Source organism: Homo sapiens, chromosome 14 (genome assembly GCF_000001405.40).
Source record: "Homo sapiens chromosome 14, GRCh38.p14 Primary Assembly".
NCBI classification, from domain to species: Eukaryota; Metazoa; Chordata; class Mammalia; order Primates; family Hominidae; genus Homo; species Homo sapiens.
The window spans coordinates 38,178,067-38,194,209 of record NC_000014.9 but is presented as its reverse complement, the minus strand read 5'-3'; the positions used below and the strand labels follow the sequence as shown (position 1 = coordinate 38,194,209).

The following is a 16,143-nucleotide window of genomic DNA, read 5'->3' as shown; positions in this document are numbered from 1 at the left end:
AGGAAGAAATTTGGGCTTGATTGAAGTAATGGGGGCTGTCTGTGAAGCTTTGCGGCAGTACAGCCTAGGTAATTTGCTGAGCTTGATGGGTGTCAGGGTCAGGCCAAGTGAAAGTGAAGAGAGGCTGGGATTAAGGGTGCAAAGGAATAGTAAAGAAAGCATGTTTGAGATCTAGAACAGAATAATGGGTTGTAGAGGCAGGTATTGAGGATAGGAGAGTATATGGGTTTGGCACCACGGGGTGGATAGGCAAAACAATTTGGTTGATAAGGCGCAGATCCTGAACTAACTTGTAAGGCTTGTCTGGTTTTAGGACAGGTAAAATGGGGGAATTGTAAGGAGAGTTTATAGGCTTTAAAAGGCCATGCTGTAGCAGGTGAGTGATAACAGGCTTTAATCTTTTTAAAGTGTGCTGTGGGATGGGATATTGGCATTGAGTGGGGTAAGGGTGATTAGGTTTTAATGAGATGGTAAGGGGTGCATGATGGGTCGCCAAGGAGGGAGTAGAGGTATCTTATACTTGTGGGTTAAGGTGGGGGGATACAAGAGGAGGACGCAAAGGAGGCTTTGGATTGGGAAGAAGGGCGGCAATGAGATATAGCTGTAGTCCAGGAATAATCAGGGAAGCAGATAATTTAGTTAAAGTGTCTCAGCCTAATAAGGGAACTGGGCAGGTGGGGATAACTAAAAAGGAGTGCTTAAAAGAGTATTGTCTAAGTTGGCACCAGAGTTGGGGAGTTTTAAGAGGTTTAGAAGCCTGGTCGTCAATACCTACAACAGTTATGGAGGCAAGGGAAACAGGCCCTTGAAAAGAAGGTAATGTGGAGTGGGGAGCCTCTGTATTGATTAAGAAGGGGATGGGCTTACTTTCCACTGTGAGAGTTACCTGAAGCTCGGCGTCCGTGATGGTCTAGGGGGCTTCCAAGGTGATTGAGCAGTGTCAGTCTTCAGCCGCTAAGCCGAGAAGATCTGGGAAGGAGTCAGTCAGAGAGCCTTGGGCCAGAGTTCCAGGGGCTCTGGGAGTGGCTGCCAGGTGAGTTGAACAGTCTGATTTTCAGTGGGGTCCCACACAGATAGGACGTGGCTTAGGAGGAATCCCGGGCTGCGGGCATTCCTTGGCCCAGTGGCCAGATTTCCGGCAAGTGTAGCAAGCTCCTGGGGGAGGAGGTTCTGGAGGAACGCCTGGCCGCTGCGGTTCAGGCGTTTGGAAGTTCTTGTGTGCTGGAGACATGGCTGGGGTTTGTCTCACAGTGAAGGCAAGGAATTGCAACTTTTTTCTATTATTGTACACCTTGAAGGCGAGGTTAATTAAATCCTGTTGTAGGGTTTGAGGGCCGGAATTTAATTTTTGGAGTTTTATTTAATATCGGGAGCAGATTGGGTAATAAAATGTATTTTGAGAATAAGACGGCCTTTTGACCTTTTAGGGTCTAGGGCTGTAAAGCGTCTCAGGGTTGCTGCCAAACAAGTCATGAACTGGGCTGGATTTTTATATTTGATGAAAAAGAGCCTAAACGCTATCCGATTTGGGATAAAGAAAAAGGAGCATTAACCTTGACTATGCCTTTGGCTCCAGCCACATTTTTAAGAGTAAGTTGCTGGGCAGGAGGGGGAGGGCTAGTCACGGAACGAAACTGTAAGCCGGACCAGGTGTGAGGAGGGGAGGTGATAAAAAGATTATAGGGTGGAGGAGGAGAGGCTGAGGAAGAATTGGGAACTAGCTCGGCCTGGCGAGGAGCAGCCTGGGGAGGAAGGGAGAGGTCATATGGGTCTATAGAAAAGGAAGATTAGAAAGACTCAGCAACGCTTGGCGTTGGTACTGAGGGGACAGGTGGGAGGGAAAGAAGGAAGATTTGGGACGAGTTGCACTGGGCACAGAGACTAGGAAGGGACTGATATGTAAAAGAATGCCTGGACGTCAGGCACCTAAGACTGTTTGCCTATTTTACGACAAGAATTATTTAGATCTTGCAGGATGGAAAAATTCAAAGTGCCATTTTCTGGCTATTTGGAACTACTGTCGAGTTTGTATTGGGGTCAAGCGGCATTGCAGAAGAAAATAAGGCATTTAGGTTTTAGGTCAGGTGTGAATTGAAGAGGTTTTAAGTTTTTGAGAACACAGGCCAAGGGAGTAGAAGGAGGAATGGAGGGTGGAAGATTGCCCATAGTGAAGGAAGCAAGCCTAGAGAAAAGAAAGAGTAGAGAAATGGAGGGAAGGGGTTCAGGGGTTCTTACCTTCCAGAAAAGTGGGAAAGGGGTTGGGGCGCAGAGATAAGAGGTCAGGGTGCAGAAATAAGGGATGGGGCGCAGAAATAAGAGGTCAGGGCATGGAAATAAGGGATTGGGGTGCAGAGATATAAGAGGTTGGGGCGTGGAAATAAGGGATTGGGGCACAGAGATACAAGGTTGGGGCGTGGAAATAAGGGATTGGGGTGCAGAGATAAGAGGTTGGGACACGGAAATAAGGGATTGGGGCACAGAGATAAGAGGTTGGGGCGTGGAAATAAGGGATTGGGGGTTCTTGCCCCGTAGAAAAGCGGGACTTGCCACTCAGGGTGAAAGAGAAGGGGTTGAGGGGTACTTGCCCCTTCCCCAGAAAAGCAGAGAAGGGGTAGAGACAGGGAGAGAAGGGGTTGGGGTACTTGCGCCTTCCCCAGAAAAGTGGGACTTGCCGCTAAGGGTGAAGGACAAAGGCAGGCGTCCCTGCGTGGTCTGACACCTTTGAAACATGGGTGAATAATCAGAAAGGCATCCCTGCAAGGATTAAACACCAAGGGAAGGCTGCCTTCCCAGTCCATGACGGGCGTGGGAGTTTTGGGTCCACGGATAAAACATGTCTCCTTTGTCTCTACCAGAAGATGAAAGGAATTGAAATTAAGAGAAGGGAGAGATTGAAGTGTGGCGCCAAGATTGAAAGGAGAAAGAGGTTGAGGGATAGTGAGGGAGGTTGGAGAAGAGAGTAAAAAGAGGCCGCTTACCGGATTTGAAATTGGTGAGATGTTTCTTGGCCTGGTTGGTCTGAGGACCTGAGGTCGTAGGTGGCTCTTTCTCACGGAGCAAAGAACAGGAGGACAGGGGATTGATCTCCCAAGGGAGGTCCCCCGATCCGAGTCACCGCACCAAATTTCATGCGCATCCATGTGAAGAGACCACCAAACAGGCTTTGTGTGAGCAATAAAGCTTTTAATCACCTGGGTGCAGGCAGGCTGAGTCCGAAAAGTGTCAGTGAAGGGAGATAAGGGTGGGGCCGTTTTATAGGATTTGGGTAGGTAAAGGAAAATTACAGTCAAAGGGGTTTGTTCTCTGGCAGGCAGGAGTGGGGGTCGCAAGGTGCTCAGTGGGGGTGCTTTTTGAGCCAGGATGGGCCAGGAAAAGGACTTTCACAAGGTAATGTCATCAGTTAAGGCAAGGACCGGCCATTTACACTTCTTTTGTGGTGGAATGTCATCAGTTAAGGTGGGGCAGGGCATATTCACTTCTTTTGTGATTCTTCAGTTACTTCAGGCCATCTGGGCGTATACGTGCAAGTCACAGGGGATGCGATGGCTTGGCTTGGGCTCAGAGGCCTGACAGTTTTTTTTTGAGATTCAAACTAATTTTTCCTTCTTTTGTTTTCCCCTTTCTTCCTCCCTTGCTCATGTAGACAACTGATTATTCCTTGCCTCTGTGAGGTGTGCGGTTGACTTCCTGGCTTTTTTTGTGTATAGGCTGTGAACCCAAAAGTATCTGAGACAGATCTCAGTTAACTTACAAAGTTTATTTTGCCCAAGACAGCCTCAGGAGGTCCTGGCAACATATGTCCAAGGTTGTAGTCAGGGTACAGCTTTCTTTTATACATTTTAGGAAGACATAATACATCAATCAATACATGTAACATTTACATTGGTTCAATCTGGAAGAGTGGGACAATTTGAAGCAGGGGGCTCCCAGGTCATAGGTAGATTTAAAAAATTTCTGATTGGCAATTGGTTGAAAGGGTTGTTATCAATAGAAAGGAATGTCTGAGTTACAATAAAGGGGCTGTTGATACCATGGTTTTATTATGTAGATGAAACCCCCAGGTAGCAGGCTTCCAAGAGAATGGATTGTAAATGTTTCTTATCAGACTTAAGGCCTGTATTTATGTTAATGCTGGTTGGTTTTTCCAGAATTCCAAAAGGGAGAAAGGTATAATGAGGCATGTTCAACTCTCCACTTCCCATTATGTCCTGAACTAGTTTTTCAGGTTAACTTTGGAATGCTCTTGGCTGAGAGAAGGGGTCCATTCAGATGATTGGGGGACCTTAGAATTTTATTTTTGGGTTATAAGCCTAAGCCCACTGAGAGAGTATGGTTTGAAAAGAAATATTTAACTCAGAATGAAAAGAAATCCCTGGAGATATTATGGGATTGGGGCAAGGGAGAAGTTGGGGGTCCCAAGGAGAGAGGGCATCTGTGCATTTTTTCCCTGCCAGAACTCTTAGAATATGGAAGAATATTGAAATTAATGGCCAGGTAGCCTTGATTTTAGGCTGAGAGTACCCAGTCTCTTGGTGGAAACCAGCAGAGAGGCGGTCCATGACAGCTGTCATATAGATGATACAGCTGTAATAAATGCAGACAAATAACCAATGTCCAGAAGAGTCTCTAGACACTTTAGTACTGGGCAAGAAATAAATACCCTTGAAGATTGGAGAAAACAACTCTGGAGAAAATGGAGCCCTAGGAGAGAATTTCTCCCTAACTTCAGAAAATTCATACCTTCAATGCAAGCATCAGTTCTTCCAAATAGCTCCATATTCTACCACACTTGTTCTTCTGGCCCCAGGATTCTCAAACCTCAGCCCCTTCATGACTTCAGCATTCCCTCTGCTGACTATGCCTAGGATTCATGGCTTCGGATACTTTCTTGCTAGTGCCCTCAGCTTCCTCACTTCCTTGTGCAGCAAAATCCCCATAACAAACCAATCCACCACCACATTCTCCATTTGTAAACCCAAGCTGCTGAATGGCAGCTAGAGAAAGTCCACAACTGCATGGGATTGCTGCTCCTGCAAGTCATTGTTCCTCATCTTAAATTGGGTCCACGACCTTGTCTGACCAGCCTTTGATCTGTCCCTACACAGTTATCTTTATTCCCCACAACTGCTCCTTCAAATGAGTGCTACTCTTTTCAAGTACCCTACTTCATTCCAGCTCTTTCCTTAACTCACAGTGGTCAGGCATCTGATCTTGCTTCGCAGAAAAAATAGAGTTCATTGATGAAGCAGAAATTTCCTCATTTTGATTCCCTGTACTCCTTAAATTTTTTAGGATCCTAACTCTTTCCCATCTTCCCTCTCATCTTTATAGAAAACTATTCCTTTTTAAGGTGAATTGTCTCATACTTTGCCTTGAATCTGTTAACTTCCAAACTTCTCAGGGGACTTTGTTCCCAAAGGCCCTTCCTTTTACTTTCTCTGCAATTGACTTTCCCTTTCCTTTTTTTTTTTTTTTTTTCCTATTTTCTATTTTTTTTTTTTTTTTTTTAAGACAGACTCTCACTCTGTCACCCAGGCTGGAGTGCAGTGGCACCATCTTGGCTCAATGCAAACTCTGCCTCCTGGGTACAAGTGATTCTCCTACCTCAGCCTCCCAAGTAGCTGGGATTACAGGTGTGCGCCACTATGCCCAGCTAAATTTTTTAATTTTTAGTAGAAACAGTGTTTCACCATGTTTGCCAGGCTGGTGTCAAACTCCTGACCTCTAGTGATCTGCCTGCCTCAGCCTCCCAAAGTGCTAGGAATACAGGCGTGAGCTGCTGCGATGGCCTGACTTTCCCTTTCCACTCATTCTCTCTTCTTAGCAACAGCAAGTAACTCATGAGTTTTCAGTTACTGATCTTATCTATTTGGCACAATAGTGAGAACTTTATATCATCTTCTTTACTTTTTAAAAGAATATGATGCAGAACCACTACTATACCCATTTGGCAGACAAAGAAACGATTATAGAAAGATTTATTGTTGTTGTTGTTGTTGTTAACTTGACCAAGATCTCACAGCTAGTAAATGCCAGATTTCAGTTCACTTGTCTAGGTTTCATTAGGTGCAATGTACAATTACATACTAACACACACAAGTGTGTGTGTGTGTATGACTTTTTCAATGTTTTCCTTTTCATCTTTTTAAAAAACTCTTTATTGATCCTATGTGTTCTTTATTTACCACCATATTTCCTTCTTGCCATTCAGGGCCAATTGTCTGGAAAGATCGGTTAACACTTACTATCTCAGTTTTTAATCATAAAACTACTCCTGCTAAGGGCATTCTGTTCCCTTTGTTGCCACATACAGTGAAAGCATTTCAGAACTTATATTATCTACTTTTAATTATCATTTTAAATGTTGATACACTCTCTCTCTCCTTCTTAATGATCTTATCTACTGTTGTTTCCTTGACATTCTCTTACCTAATTTTCCTCTTACCCCTCAGTGTTAATGCCCCAGAGGTCAACCCTCACTTTGGCCCCTCTCCAGGTGAAATCTCATGCATTATCATAGGTGCGGCTCTACCTTTAGGCTGATGACTCATGTTCCTGTCCCAGGCCTCTCCTGAGTACCAGCTGCATACAGGATGCCTACACTTAGATGATGTAAATTAACCCCAGTTCAACATTTTGAAGACGGCATCACCATATTCTTCTCAAATCTGCTTCTTATTAACTATTAATTTATTCAATTAATATTGATTATTTAGTATATATCAGACAGTGTTCTAGGATCAAAGCAGTGAATGAAAAAGACCCAAAAAAAAAAATCTGCCTTATGGAATTTACATTCTAGTGGGAAATGTTGTCTATTTCTATTAGTCAGGGTTTAGTTAGAGAAATAGAACCTTTATAAATACAATGGACAAAAAATTTATTGCAGGAATAATACCTTACACAATTGTGGGAGAAGCTGAGAATATCCAGGTCAGAAAGAGGAAGCTGGAGGTTCAGAGAAAAGTTAAAAAGCAGGCCTCCTAAAATAGCCTATCCAGCTGCCAGAGTGGGAATGTAAGGGGAGCTGGTAGAAATGTGTAGGGACAGCTCTTGCCTCATTTCTCCCTGTGTCTAGCCTCCAGAATCTTCAGAAAATAATGGCTGCTACTTCACTTCCACACACTTTAGCCTGAGAACATACAGAAAGTGTCCCGGCTTATTAAATTGACACAGTATGAAACCACCACCCTGTCATAAATAACATGTAGTGAATTTTGTCATTGGTATTTTAAATCTAGTCTGGAAGTCTTTGTCTTTTATCATATGAGGAAGAGGAGAAGATGAGATATCGAGGATAAAAATCTTAAAAGAGGATGTGTTTTCCCATAAAGATGGAGGAATAAAGAGGTAAGAGTAGCAGCTGGAGGAGCCCTGAAAGAATGAGATGTGCTTGAGAGAGATGCAGGGTCCTCAGCATGGAGCCACATTTCAGTTATGACAAGGGGAATGGGATGAACACTGTCCCCCAGAAATTCATGTATATCCAGAACCTCAGAATGTGACCTTATTTGAAAATATGGTCGTTGGAGATTTAATTAGCTAAGGATCTCAAGACAAAATCCACCAGAATTTAGGGAGGACTCTAAGTCCAATGACTAGTATACTCAGAGGAAAAGGAGAGGACACAGGGAGACATGCAGCCCAGAAGACCATGTGAAGATAGGGGCAGAGATTGGAATTACACTGTCACAAATCAAGGGCTACCAGGAGCCACCCAGCAGAGGCTGGAAGAGGCAAAGAAGCCTTCAGAAAGAGAATGGCCCTGAAACACCTTGAGCTCAGACTTCTGGCTTCCAGACTGTGAACGAAGAAATTTCTGTGGTTTTTAACCATGTTGCTTGTGGTATTTTTTTTTTTATAGCAGTCATAGAAAACTAATACAAGTAAGAACATTATGGAAACATATTGCATCCTTGTGATGAGGGTGAGGTTTTTTGTTTTGTTTGTTTTTTAAAAAAATTGCATTTTTCTCTATTTTATATAAAATACCTGCTTATGCCATTTTTTAAAAATCCACTTTCTCCTTAGACTAGCCAGAGTGTATTCTGTTGTCCACACTCAGAACTGGCAATACAGAAAATGTACCAAGTGAATAGGGGAGGGTGAGAAGGGAGAGTCTGCAAGAGGCTGTTTAATTCTTTAAATTCTTGCCATGCTAATTAAATAATGTTAGACTATGAGCTTAAAATCTACCTACTCTATCTTACTTATGCTGACATTTTCTTCCACTGTACTAAAATAACTCTACATCTTAAATTCACTGATTGCATATGCTCTGTGTAGATTAGAGAAGAAATGTCACAGAGGAAAGATAAACAGGAAAGGCCAAACAAACCAAGTGTGTCACCTCTGGAAAGGCAGTATTTCTCACGCTCATTTATTTTCTAGGCTTTGCCAGATGACAGGGAACCAGGAGAGGCACAGAAGTATAGAACCTTAGAAAGAGAGCTGTTTTAAACCATTTAGTCCTGTCACCAAATGATTATTTTATCTTCTCTACAACATCCCTGGAAATATGTGTCCAAACTCTCCCTGAGCCTCTCTAGTGACAAAGGACTCATTACCTCCTGAAGCAGACATTGCATTTTAGGTACTCTACTTGAGAGGAAAATTCTACAGCTGACTTGAATCCAGTACTTTTGATAACTTCTGAATGCTGCAATCTGAGGCTACTAAGAACTACATTTGTCTTCTTGAATGATACCAATTCTCACACTTGAATCCAGCTATCATGTCCATCCATGTCTTCTTCTTCTCAGACTTAAGGCTCCATTTCCTTTGGCTAACATGATTTCATTTATTTCCTTCACTTTCAGGTTCCTCTCCTCTGGCTGTGCTCCAATTAGTGGGACTAAATATTGTGTTAAAGCTGAAGGTCACACACTTATCTTTCCTCCATTTTTCTTAGTGACTTCTTGCAGGATTTTGTCTGTTCCACTGCCAGACATCAATGAAAGGTTCCATCAATACTTCGTCCTTTGTGCCTTCAAAGCCTTCGTCTAGTTTGTATCATATTGTGCTCCAACACATACTTAAGTTTCTGTTCCATCCCCCCAATTGGACAGTGATCTAACTGAGGATAGGAATGATGTCTTTCTATCTTTGAATTCCAAGCAACAAGCACCTCTCTGTGCACATAGCAGGGTTTAATTTGAAACTATGTTAAAATATAACCATCAAAATGAATGGATCACAAAAGTTTTCCCAGGAGAGGTCCTATGACCCTGGTATATCCCACAAACTGATTAAGAAGCCAAAAATAATGCAGGGAATAAAACTGAAACTTTGGTGTGTTATGCAGTCAAGTAACCTTAAAGAATTCCATAAAAATATTATTAGAGAAAATAGGCTTTAGGGCTATAGAAGGATCAGCTCAGGACAGAGGGATCCTGGATTGGATAGGGGTCTAGATTGGTACAGATTGAGTTCTGGGCTTTTCTTCAGGATGGCACTTTTCTAACAAAAGTTACATATCCATGAGACAGGTAAGGCAATTAGTTACCAGGCCAGGTGGTAACTTTGAGGAGTGAAGGTGATCTAAAGCTTGGGGACGCAGATGATTGCAACAATGAAAGGTAGTGGGTGGTGGAAAGTGATAGCATGAGATTAGAAATGGAAGATTTTCTTAAAACAGCTAAGAGAATGGTCCAGAATGGAAATGAGGAAAATGGAGAACACTTAACCCACCTCTGCATCCAGAGGCCTGAGGAATGTGGGAAAGAAACAGTCACTATTTGAGAGGGCTCCCAGGGAAGAAGTGTTTTTAGGAAAAAGCCAGGATTAAGTCATAGTTAGAAGACATTGAAGATACAGGTGATGTGATGTATGAGGGAGCACAGTCCACAAGACCATTCTCACTTCTGAAACCAAATGCAAGTTTGGGGAGTTCCCCCAAACACACTCAGTTTCAATAATTCACTAGAAGTGTACATAGAACTTACTAAAAGCTGTATAATCACAGTCATTGTTTGTTACTCTAGTTTGTATTCTAGCAAAAGAATACAGATTAAAATTAGCCAAGAAAAGAAGTACCCAGGGCAAAGTCTAGGAAAGTGCCAAACCCAGAGCTTCTAGTTGTCCTTCACCTATTGAATCATGAATGGCATTACTTTCCCAGGATTGATGTCTGGTGATATGCTGAGTATTGCCAGCCAGGAAACTCATAGGTGTCTTGGTGTTCAGAGTTTTCGTTGGAGTTCCATCACGTAAGCACAATTGATTGCCCACATGTTAGATCTCCATTTCCAGCCCCTCAAGAGATCTAGCTTACACTATGTGACCCAAAACCCCCTCTCTAAATCACATGGTTATTTATCTGTCTTATCCAAGGCCAGCAGGCAAACAAAGACAACCCTATCAGGCATGACATTCCAAGGGTTTACAGACTGCCTCCAGAAGCCAAGGGCAGAAGCCAGCTCTCTCTTTCCTTAGGCAAGGCTACATTTTTTAGTACATAGGGGATTGTAATGATGATTGACTTTTCACATTGCATTGTAAGTATCTGTTCATGTGTGCATCTCCTACAGTGATGGTGAGATCCTTGAGGTCAGAGTCCATGCAACATGCAATGTCTGCATACTGGATGGGCAAAATGGTAAATGAATCTGCTTGGTGTGGTTTTGCACAATATAGTAGCTTCAAAAGCCTTGGTCTGGGAAATGGGGTTTTACTTGTTCTTTCTTGAGGAACATAAACGAGTCTCTCAACTTCTATTGTTTCTACAATAAGCAAAGGTTTTTATTTTATCAGTGGGAAAGTTACTAGAAAAATATTGCTCTGAAGAATTCCTCTTCGATGCCTTCTGTAATGATATAGTTTGGATGTTTTGTCCCCTCCAAATCTCATGTTGAAATGTGATGCTCAGTGTTGGAGGTGCAGGTTGGTGGGATGTGTTTGGGTCATGGGGGCAGATCCCTCAAGAATGGCTTGATGTCTTCCCAATGGTAATGAGTGAGCTCTTGCTCTGTTAATTTATGAAAGAGCTGGTTGTTTAGAGCAGCCTGGCACCTCCTCCTCTCTCTCTTGCTTCCTTTCTCAACATGTGACATGCCTGCTCTGCCATCACCTTCTACAACGACTGTAAGCTTCCTGAGGCATCTCCAAAAGCTGAGCAGATGTTGCTGCTGTGCTTGTACAGCCTGCAGAACTGCAAGCCAAATAAACTTCATTTCTTTATAAATTACCCAGTCTCGGGCATTCCTTTATAGCAATGCAAAATGGACTCACACAGGTGACAAATGCATTTGAGGGTTTATTAGACTGCAGAAAGACACAGGTCTCTAAAGCTAGGGCTTCTTGCCTAAAACAATGTATATTGTTATATATATTGAACTGTAAAACATTTCATGGCTTAACAGGCTTCTGATTTACCTCAGCACAAAGGAAAATTAAAAGTGCTCTCAAAGACAAATGCCATCTTATTTGTCTGACGAACAGACTTATTCTAACTACTCATCTCTCTCATTACCACTGCAAAAATGAGAGACTAGCTGAAAATGGAAAAATGAAAGAATGTGAATAAAAGGCCAGAATTAAATAGAAATATCAGAACTTCTTTTGATGTTACAAGTCCCCAGGCTTGAATTATGTCAATAAGCACAGCACTTCAGAAGGTGAATCTTGCTGTTATTAAAAATAGCTAAAGAATAGGGCCAGGCGTGGTGGCTCACGTCTGTAATCACAGCACTTCGGGAGGCTGAGGCAAGCAGATCACGAGGTCAGGAGATCGAGACCATCCTGGCTAGCATGGTGAATCCTCGTCTTTACTAAAAATACAAAAAATTATCCAGGCATAGTGGCATGTGCCTGTAATCCCAGCTACTCAGGAGGCTGAGGCAGGAGAATTGCTTGAACCCAGGAGGCGGAGGTTGCAGTGAGCTGAGATTGTGCCACTGCACTCCAGCCTGAGCAACAGAGCAAGACTCTGACTCAAAAAAAAAAAGAAAAAAAATAACTAAAGAATATAACCATTATGCAATCAAAGTATGCAATATTTCAAGCTTTTAGAAAAAAACATTATTGAAGGAGAAATGCTCACCATTACCCTAATTCCTCTAAAAATAGTGTTAAATCTATATGGCCACCTACAACATACTATTCAGTCTATTACTCAGTCTATATAAAGTCATTGTTTTAGTCTTCGTCCCTGAGACCTTGGTATAAAGATTAAACAAATAGTTTGTCAATGTTTTTTTTTTTCTCCAAAGAAAAGGCTCATTTGGCTCTCATTCTAACTTGTTTTGGACATGGTTTTAACTCTCAGGAAGCAAATAGAAGGGCAATTAGTGGAGATAATTAAGAATACTGCAACATTCTTTTTTTTTAATGGGAGTAGGCCACACAATTTGTGGCCAGAAACCCACATCAACTATTTCTTGAAAAAGTACTACAATGATGGCACTTGTTTCAACTTGATCATTCAGTGAAGCCATCTCACTTAACCTGCCAGAGTGTGTCTTCAAGACAATCTTGAGGTGGTTTTGTTAGGTCTGAGATGTGATCCTTACTGAAGCACTAGTATTATTGACTTTTAGTCATTTCTCTAGGAGCTATGCATTCTTAATTCATTATTGTGTTCCTAGAACTACTATTGTCCCACCTGGTGTAATATGTGAGACTCTTACAAGGGTGCAATTCTATTTACTCCACGATTCCTAATGCAGTTGTTACCATTGGTTTTGCTACTTCATACATTATAAATCTGACCAAATAAAAGATTTCATTTTTAGTTTAAGCAGTTAGTAATCTTTTAAATTAAGAGGAAAGAGATAATCATTTATATTCATCCACATATTTACCATTTTTGGTGCTTTTCATTTCTTCTTGTTGATTCATGGTTCCACATGGAATCATTTCCATTAGCCTTAGTATTTCTTGTTGTGCAGGTGTGCTGGAGATGGATTTTCTGTTTTCTCTAATCTGCAGATGTCTTTAATTTACCTTCATTGTGGAGGATATTTTTCACTGTGTATAAAATTTTGGAAAATGCTTTCTCTTTCCTTTTAGCTCTTTGAAGACATCATTTCATATTCTTCGGGCCTGCATTTTTCTTCTATTTTTGAATTAGATTCTGAATTTATTTTTTAGATTTTTTAATTGGTATATATGCTATACATATTTTGGGGTACACGTGATATTCCAATACCTGTATACATTGTGCAATGATTAAATCAGGGTAATTGGGATATCCATCACCTCAAACATTTATCTTTTCTTTTTGTTGGGAACATTATAATTTTTCTCTTCTAGTTATTTTGAAATATACAATAAATCATTGTTAACTATAATTTCTCTACTATACTGCCAAACACTAGAACTTATGCTTTCTATCTAACTATATTGGCCTGCATTTTTCTGATGAGAATTCAGCCGTTACTTGTATCTTTGTGTATAATGTGTATTTTTAATGACTACTTATGTATGTTTTCTCTTTATCTTTGGTTATCTGCAATTTGATTATGTTGTTCCTAGGTGTAGTTAGCCTTGTGTTTATCCTGCTTGAAGTTTCCTGTATTTTTTGGATCTATAGCTTAATGTTTTCACTAGATTTTAGAAACAGATGGTTGTTGTTCTTTTTTTTTTTCTGCTTCATTAACTTTATCCTTTTCTTATGGACCTCCTGTTGCAAATTGGTCAGATAGCTTGCTATTGCTCCTACAAGTCCCTAAGACTCTAGTAAGATTTTTATTTTATTTATTATTATTATCTTTTGCTGTTTTTCAGACTGGATAATTTTTTATTGATCTGTCATCAAGTTCATTGGCCTATTTGTTACAGTCTCCAATCTGCTATTAAGCCAATCAATACATTTTTTATTTGAGATTGTATTAGTTCATTTTCTTGCTGTTGATAAAGACATACCTGAAACTGGGAATAAAAGAGGTTTAATTGGACTTATAGTTCCACATGGCTGGGGAGGCCTCAGAATCATGGCGAGAGGCAAAAGGCACTTCTTACATGGTGGTGGCAAGAGAAAAATGGGGAAGAAACAAAAGCGGAAACCCCTGATAAACCCATCAAATCTCATGAGACTTATTCACTATCATGAGAATAGCACGGGAAAGACCAGCCTCTATGATTCAATTACCTCCCCCTGGGTCCCTCCCACAACACATGGGAATTCTGGGAGATATAATTGAAGTTGAGATTTGGGTGGGGACACAGGCAAACCATATCAGAGATATATGCTTAACACGTTCTAGAAATTGAATACTTTAGAGTTTCCATTTCTCTGGAGACATTTCTTATCTGTTTGTTCTTGAGGCCCACATTTTTTTATGTGTCTTTGTACATTTTTATAGCCCTTCAAAGTTCTTGTCTGCTAATTCCAAACTGCAAATCATTTGGAATTCTGTTTCTATTGGCAGCATTTTTCTCAATTTTAGTACACATTTTCCTGCGGCTCGCAAATTTAGTATTTTTTCAAATCTTATGCTGGACATTGTGGTAATTATTTTGTCTTCATTATGTTGTCTATTTTTTACTAAAAAAGATATTTAATTTTGTTTTGTTAGGTTGTTAGTAGTAAATCCTTTTATTTCACGCTTGGTTTTGTTGTTGTTGTTGTTGTTATTTTAGAGCTGCTCTATTTTTTCCTTAGTCTTACGGCATATTCCTACTTTAAAGTGGTTCTTATTCCTTAGACATGTCCTTTCTGGAGTCCAAACTAAATGACTGAAGTACACAGTGAGGGTGGAAGAGTGGCCAAACATCTCTCAGCATTGGAAGACCCATTGCGTCTCTCTTGTGGGACAGCTCTGAGCCCCGCAAACTCCACCCTCTGTTAGGCCTTGTGGTATCTCTTTCTACATATCTGCTGCCAATCTTTCAGCCAAGAACCTCCTGGGTAGAGTTTTTGGGCTCCATTTCTGCACATCTTCCTCATCTCCAGTTCTCTATCCCAGAATTTCTTGCTGCTTTTGTAGTTCCAAACTCTTGTATTTCTCTCCTTTGCTTAGTGATACCACTGGCCTCTCCTTGGGCTTCACTTCCCTTAGAAGTAGTCTGAAAAATGCCCCCAAACAGGAAGCTAGTCAAAAATGGTGACCACCTTGTGCTTTTTTTTTCCCCTCAATGATTGCGGTTCTGAGCTGTCTGTGCCTAATACCAGAAAACAGTTGTCTCATATATTTATGTCCAGTTTTACAGTTTCTTTCGGCAGGAGGCAAATTTGGTACCATTCACTTATCATGATCTGAGGCAGAATTCTGATTTTCTTTTATGCATGCAGACATAGGTCAAGAAAGACTGTAAGTTCCAAAACATTGGAGACCATGCCATAGAGTGTTGGTAACATATTCAACATATGATCATTGCTCAGTGAATATAAATAGAATATATTATATTAAATTGAACTGAAGTTCTTTGATAGGACTGAATTTTCTATTGCTAAGCTCTCTAAAAACCTCTATTCTCCCTTGCTAGATATAGAGTATGATATCGGGGTTAACATGCATTGATCTCAAGAGAATAAATATCATATAGGATTCAATTAAAAGTGAAACCTCACCACCATTTCAAGAGTTCTTAGGCTAAGTTTTTATATTATCACCATTTATGGATAAAACATAAAAATTTAATTGTTTAAATAAAAGTCTGCCCAATGCCCCAAATACCCAATATCTAATATATCACCTTTTATTCATATATAGCAACAATTTTACACAGGCCTCATGAAAATTGCTAAAGCTAGAATACTTCGATGAATAGATCATGCTTAAAGGGAAAGTTTTGTTCATAAAGGAGGAGACCCAGGGGAAAATCTTTCACTAATACATACATATTAGTTGTTGAACTGAGATGAGTTGTGAAGTCATTCTGCTTTTATGTAATCAGAGGATATTGAGGCCTTGATAACATGTCCATTGATCTAGTGTGAAACATTACAGTGAATATTTGAGTTTTGTTGAAATTTTACTTTTATAAACCTTATAATGGATGCTTTCAGAATACGTTTTTGTTTTTGTCATAGCTTTGTTCCAGGCTGAGAGTTGAAATACGAATAAAAGAAAGATTTCTCTTATGAAGTCTGAGGGTAGGACTATGGGAGAGAAGAGGACACCCCTAAAATCTGCCATTTGTGATTGTGTTTTTATTGTTTTTAAAAGGAAATCTAAAAATCAAAGAATGTAGAGTTGTGCT

At 40.7% G+C, this 16,143-nt stretch overlaps 2 annotated features.

Annotated features, from left to right (window-relative positions):
* Nucleotides 2,505-3,494: an enhancer, noted in NCBI's record as "OCT4-NANOG-H3K27ac-H3K4me1 hESC enhancer chr14:38659921-38660910 (GRCh37/hg19 assembly coordinates)". NCBI's record gives its function as "activates a minimal SCP1, AML or CMV promoter by ChIP-STARR-seq in naive and primed H9 embryonic stem cells {active_cell/tissue: H9 hESC(naive and primed)}" and the evidence as "EXISTENCE:reporter gene assay evidence [ECO:0000049][PMID:30033119]".
* Nucleotides 3,495-4,484: an enhancer, noted in NCBI's record as "OCT4-NANOG-H3K27ac hESC enhancer chr14:38658931-38659920 (GRCh37/hg19 assembly coordinates)". NCBI's record gives its function as "activates a minimal SCP1, AML or CMV promoter by ChIP-STARR-seq in naive and primed H9 embryonic stem cells {active_cell/tissue: H9 hESC(naive and primed)}" and the evidence as "EXISTENCE:reporter gene assay evidence [ECO:0000049][PMID:30033119]".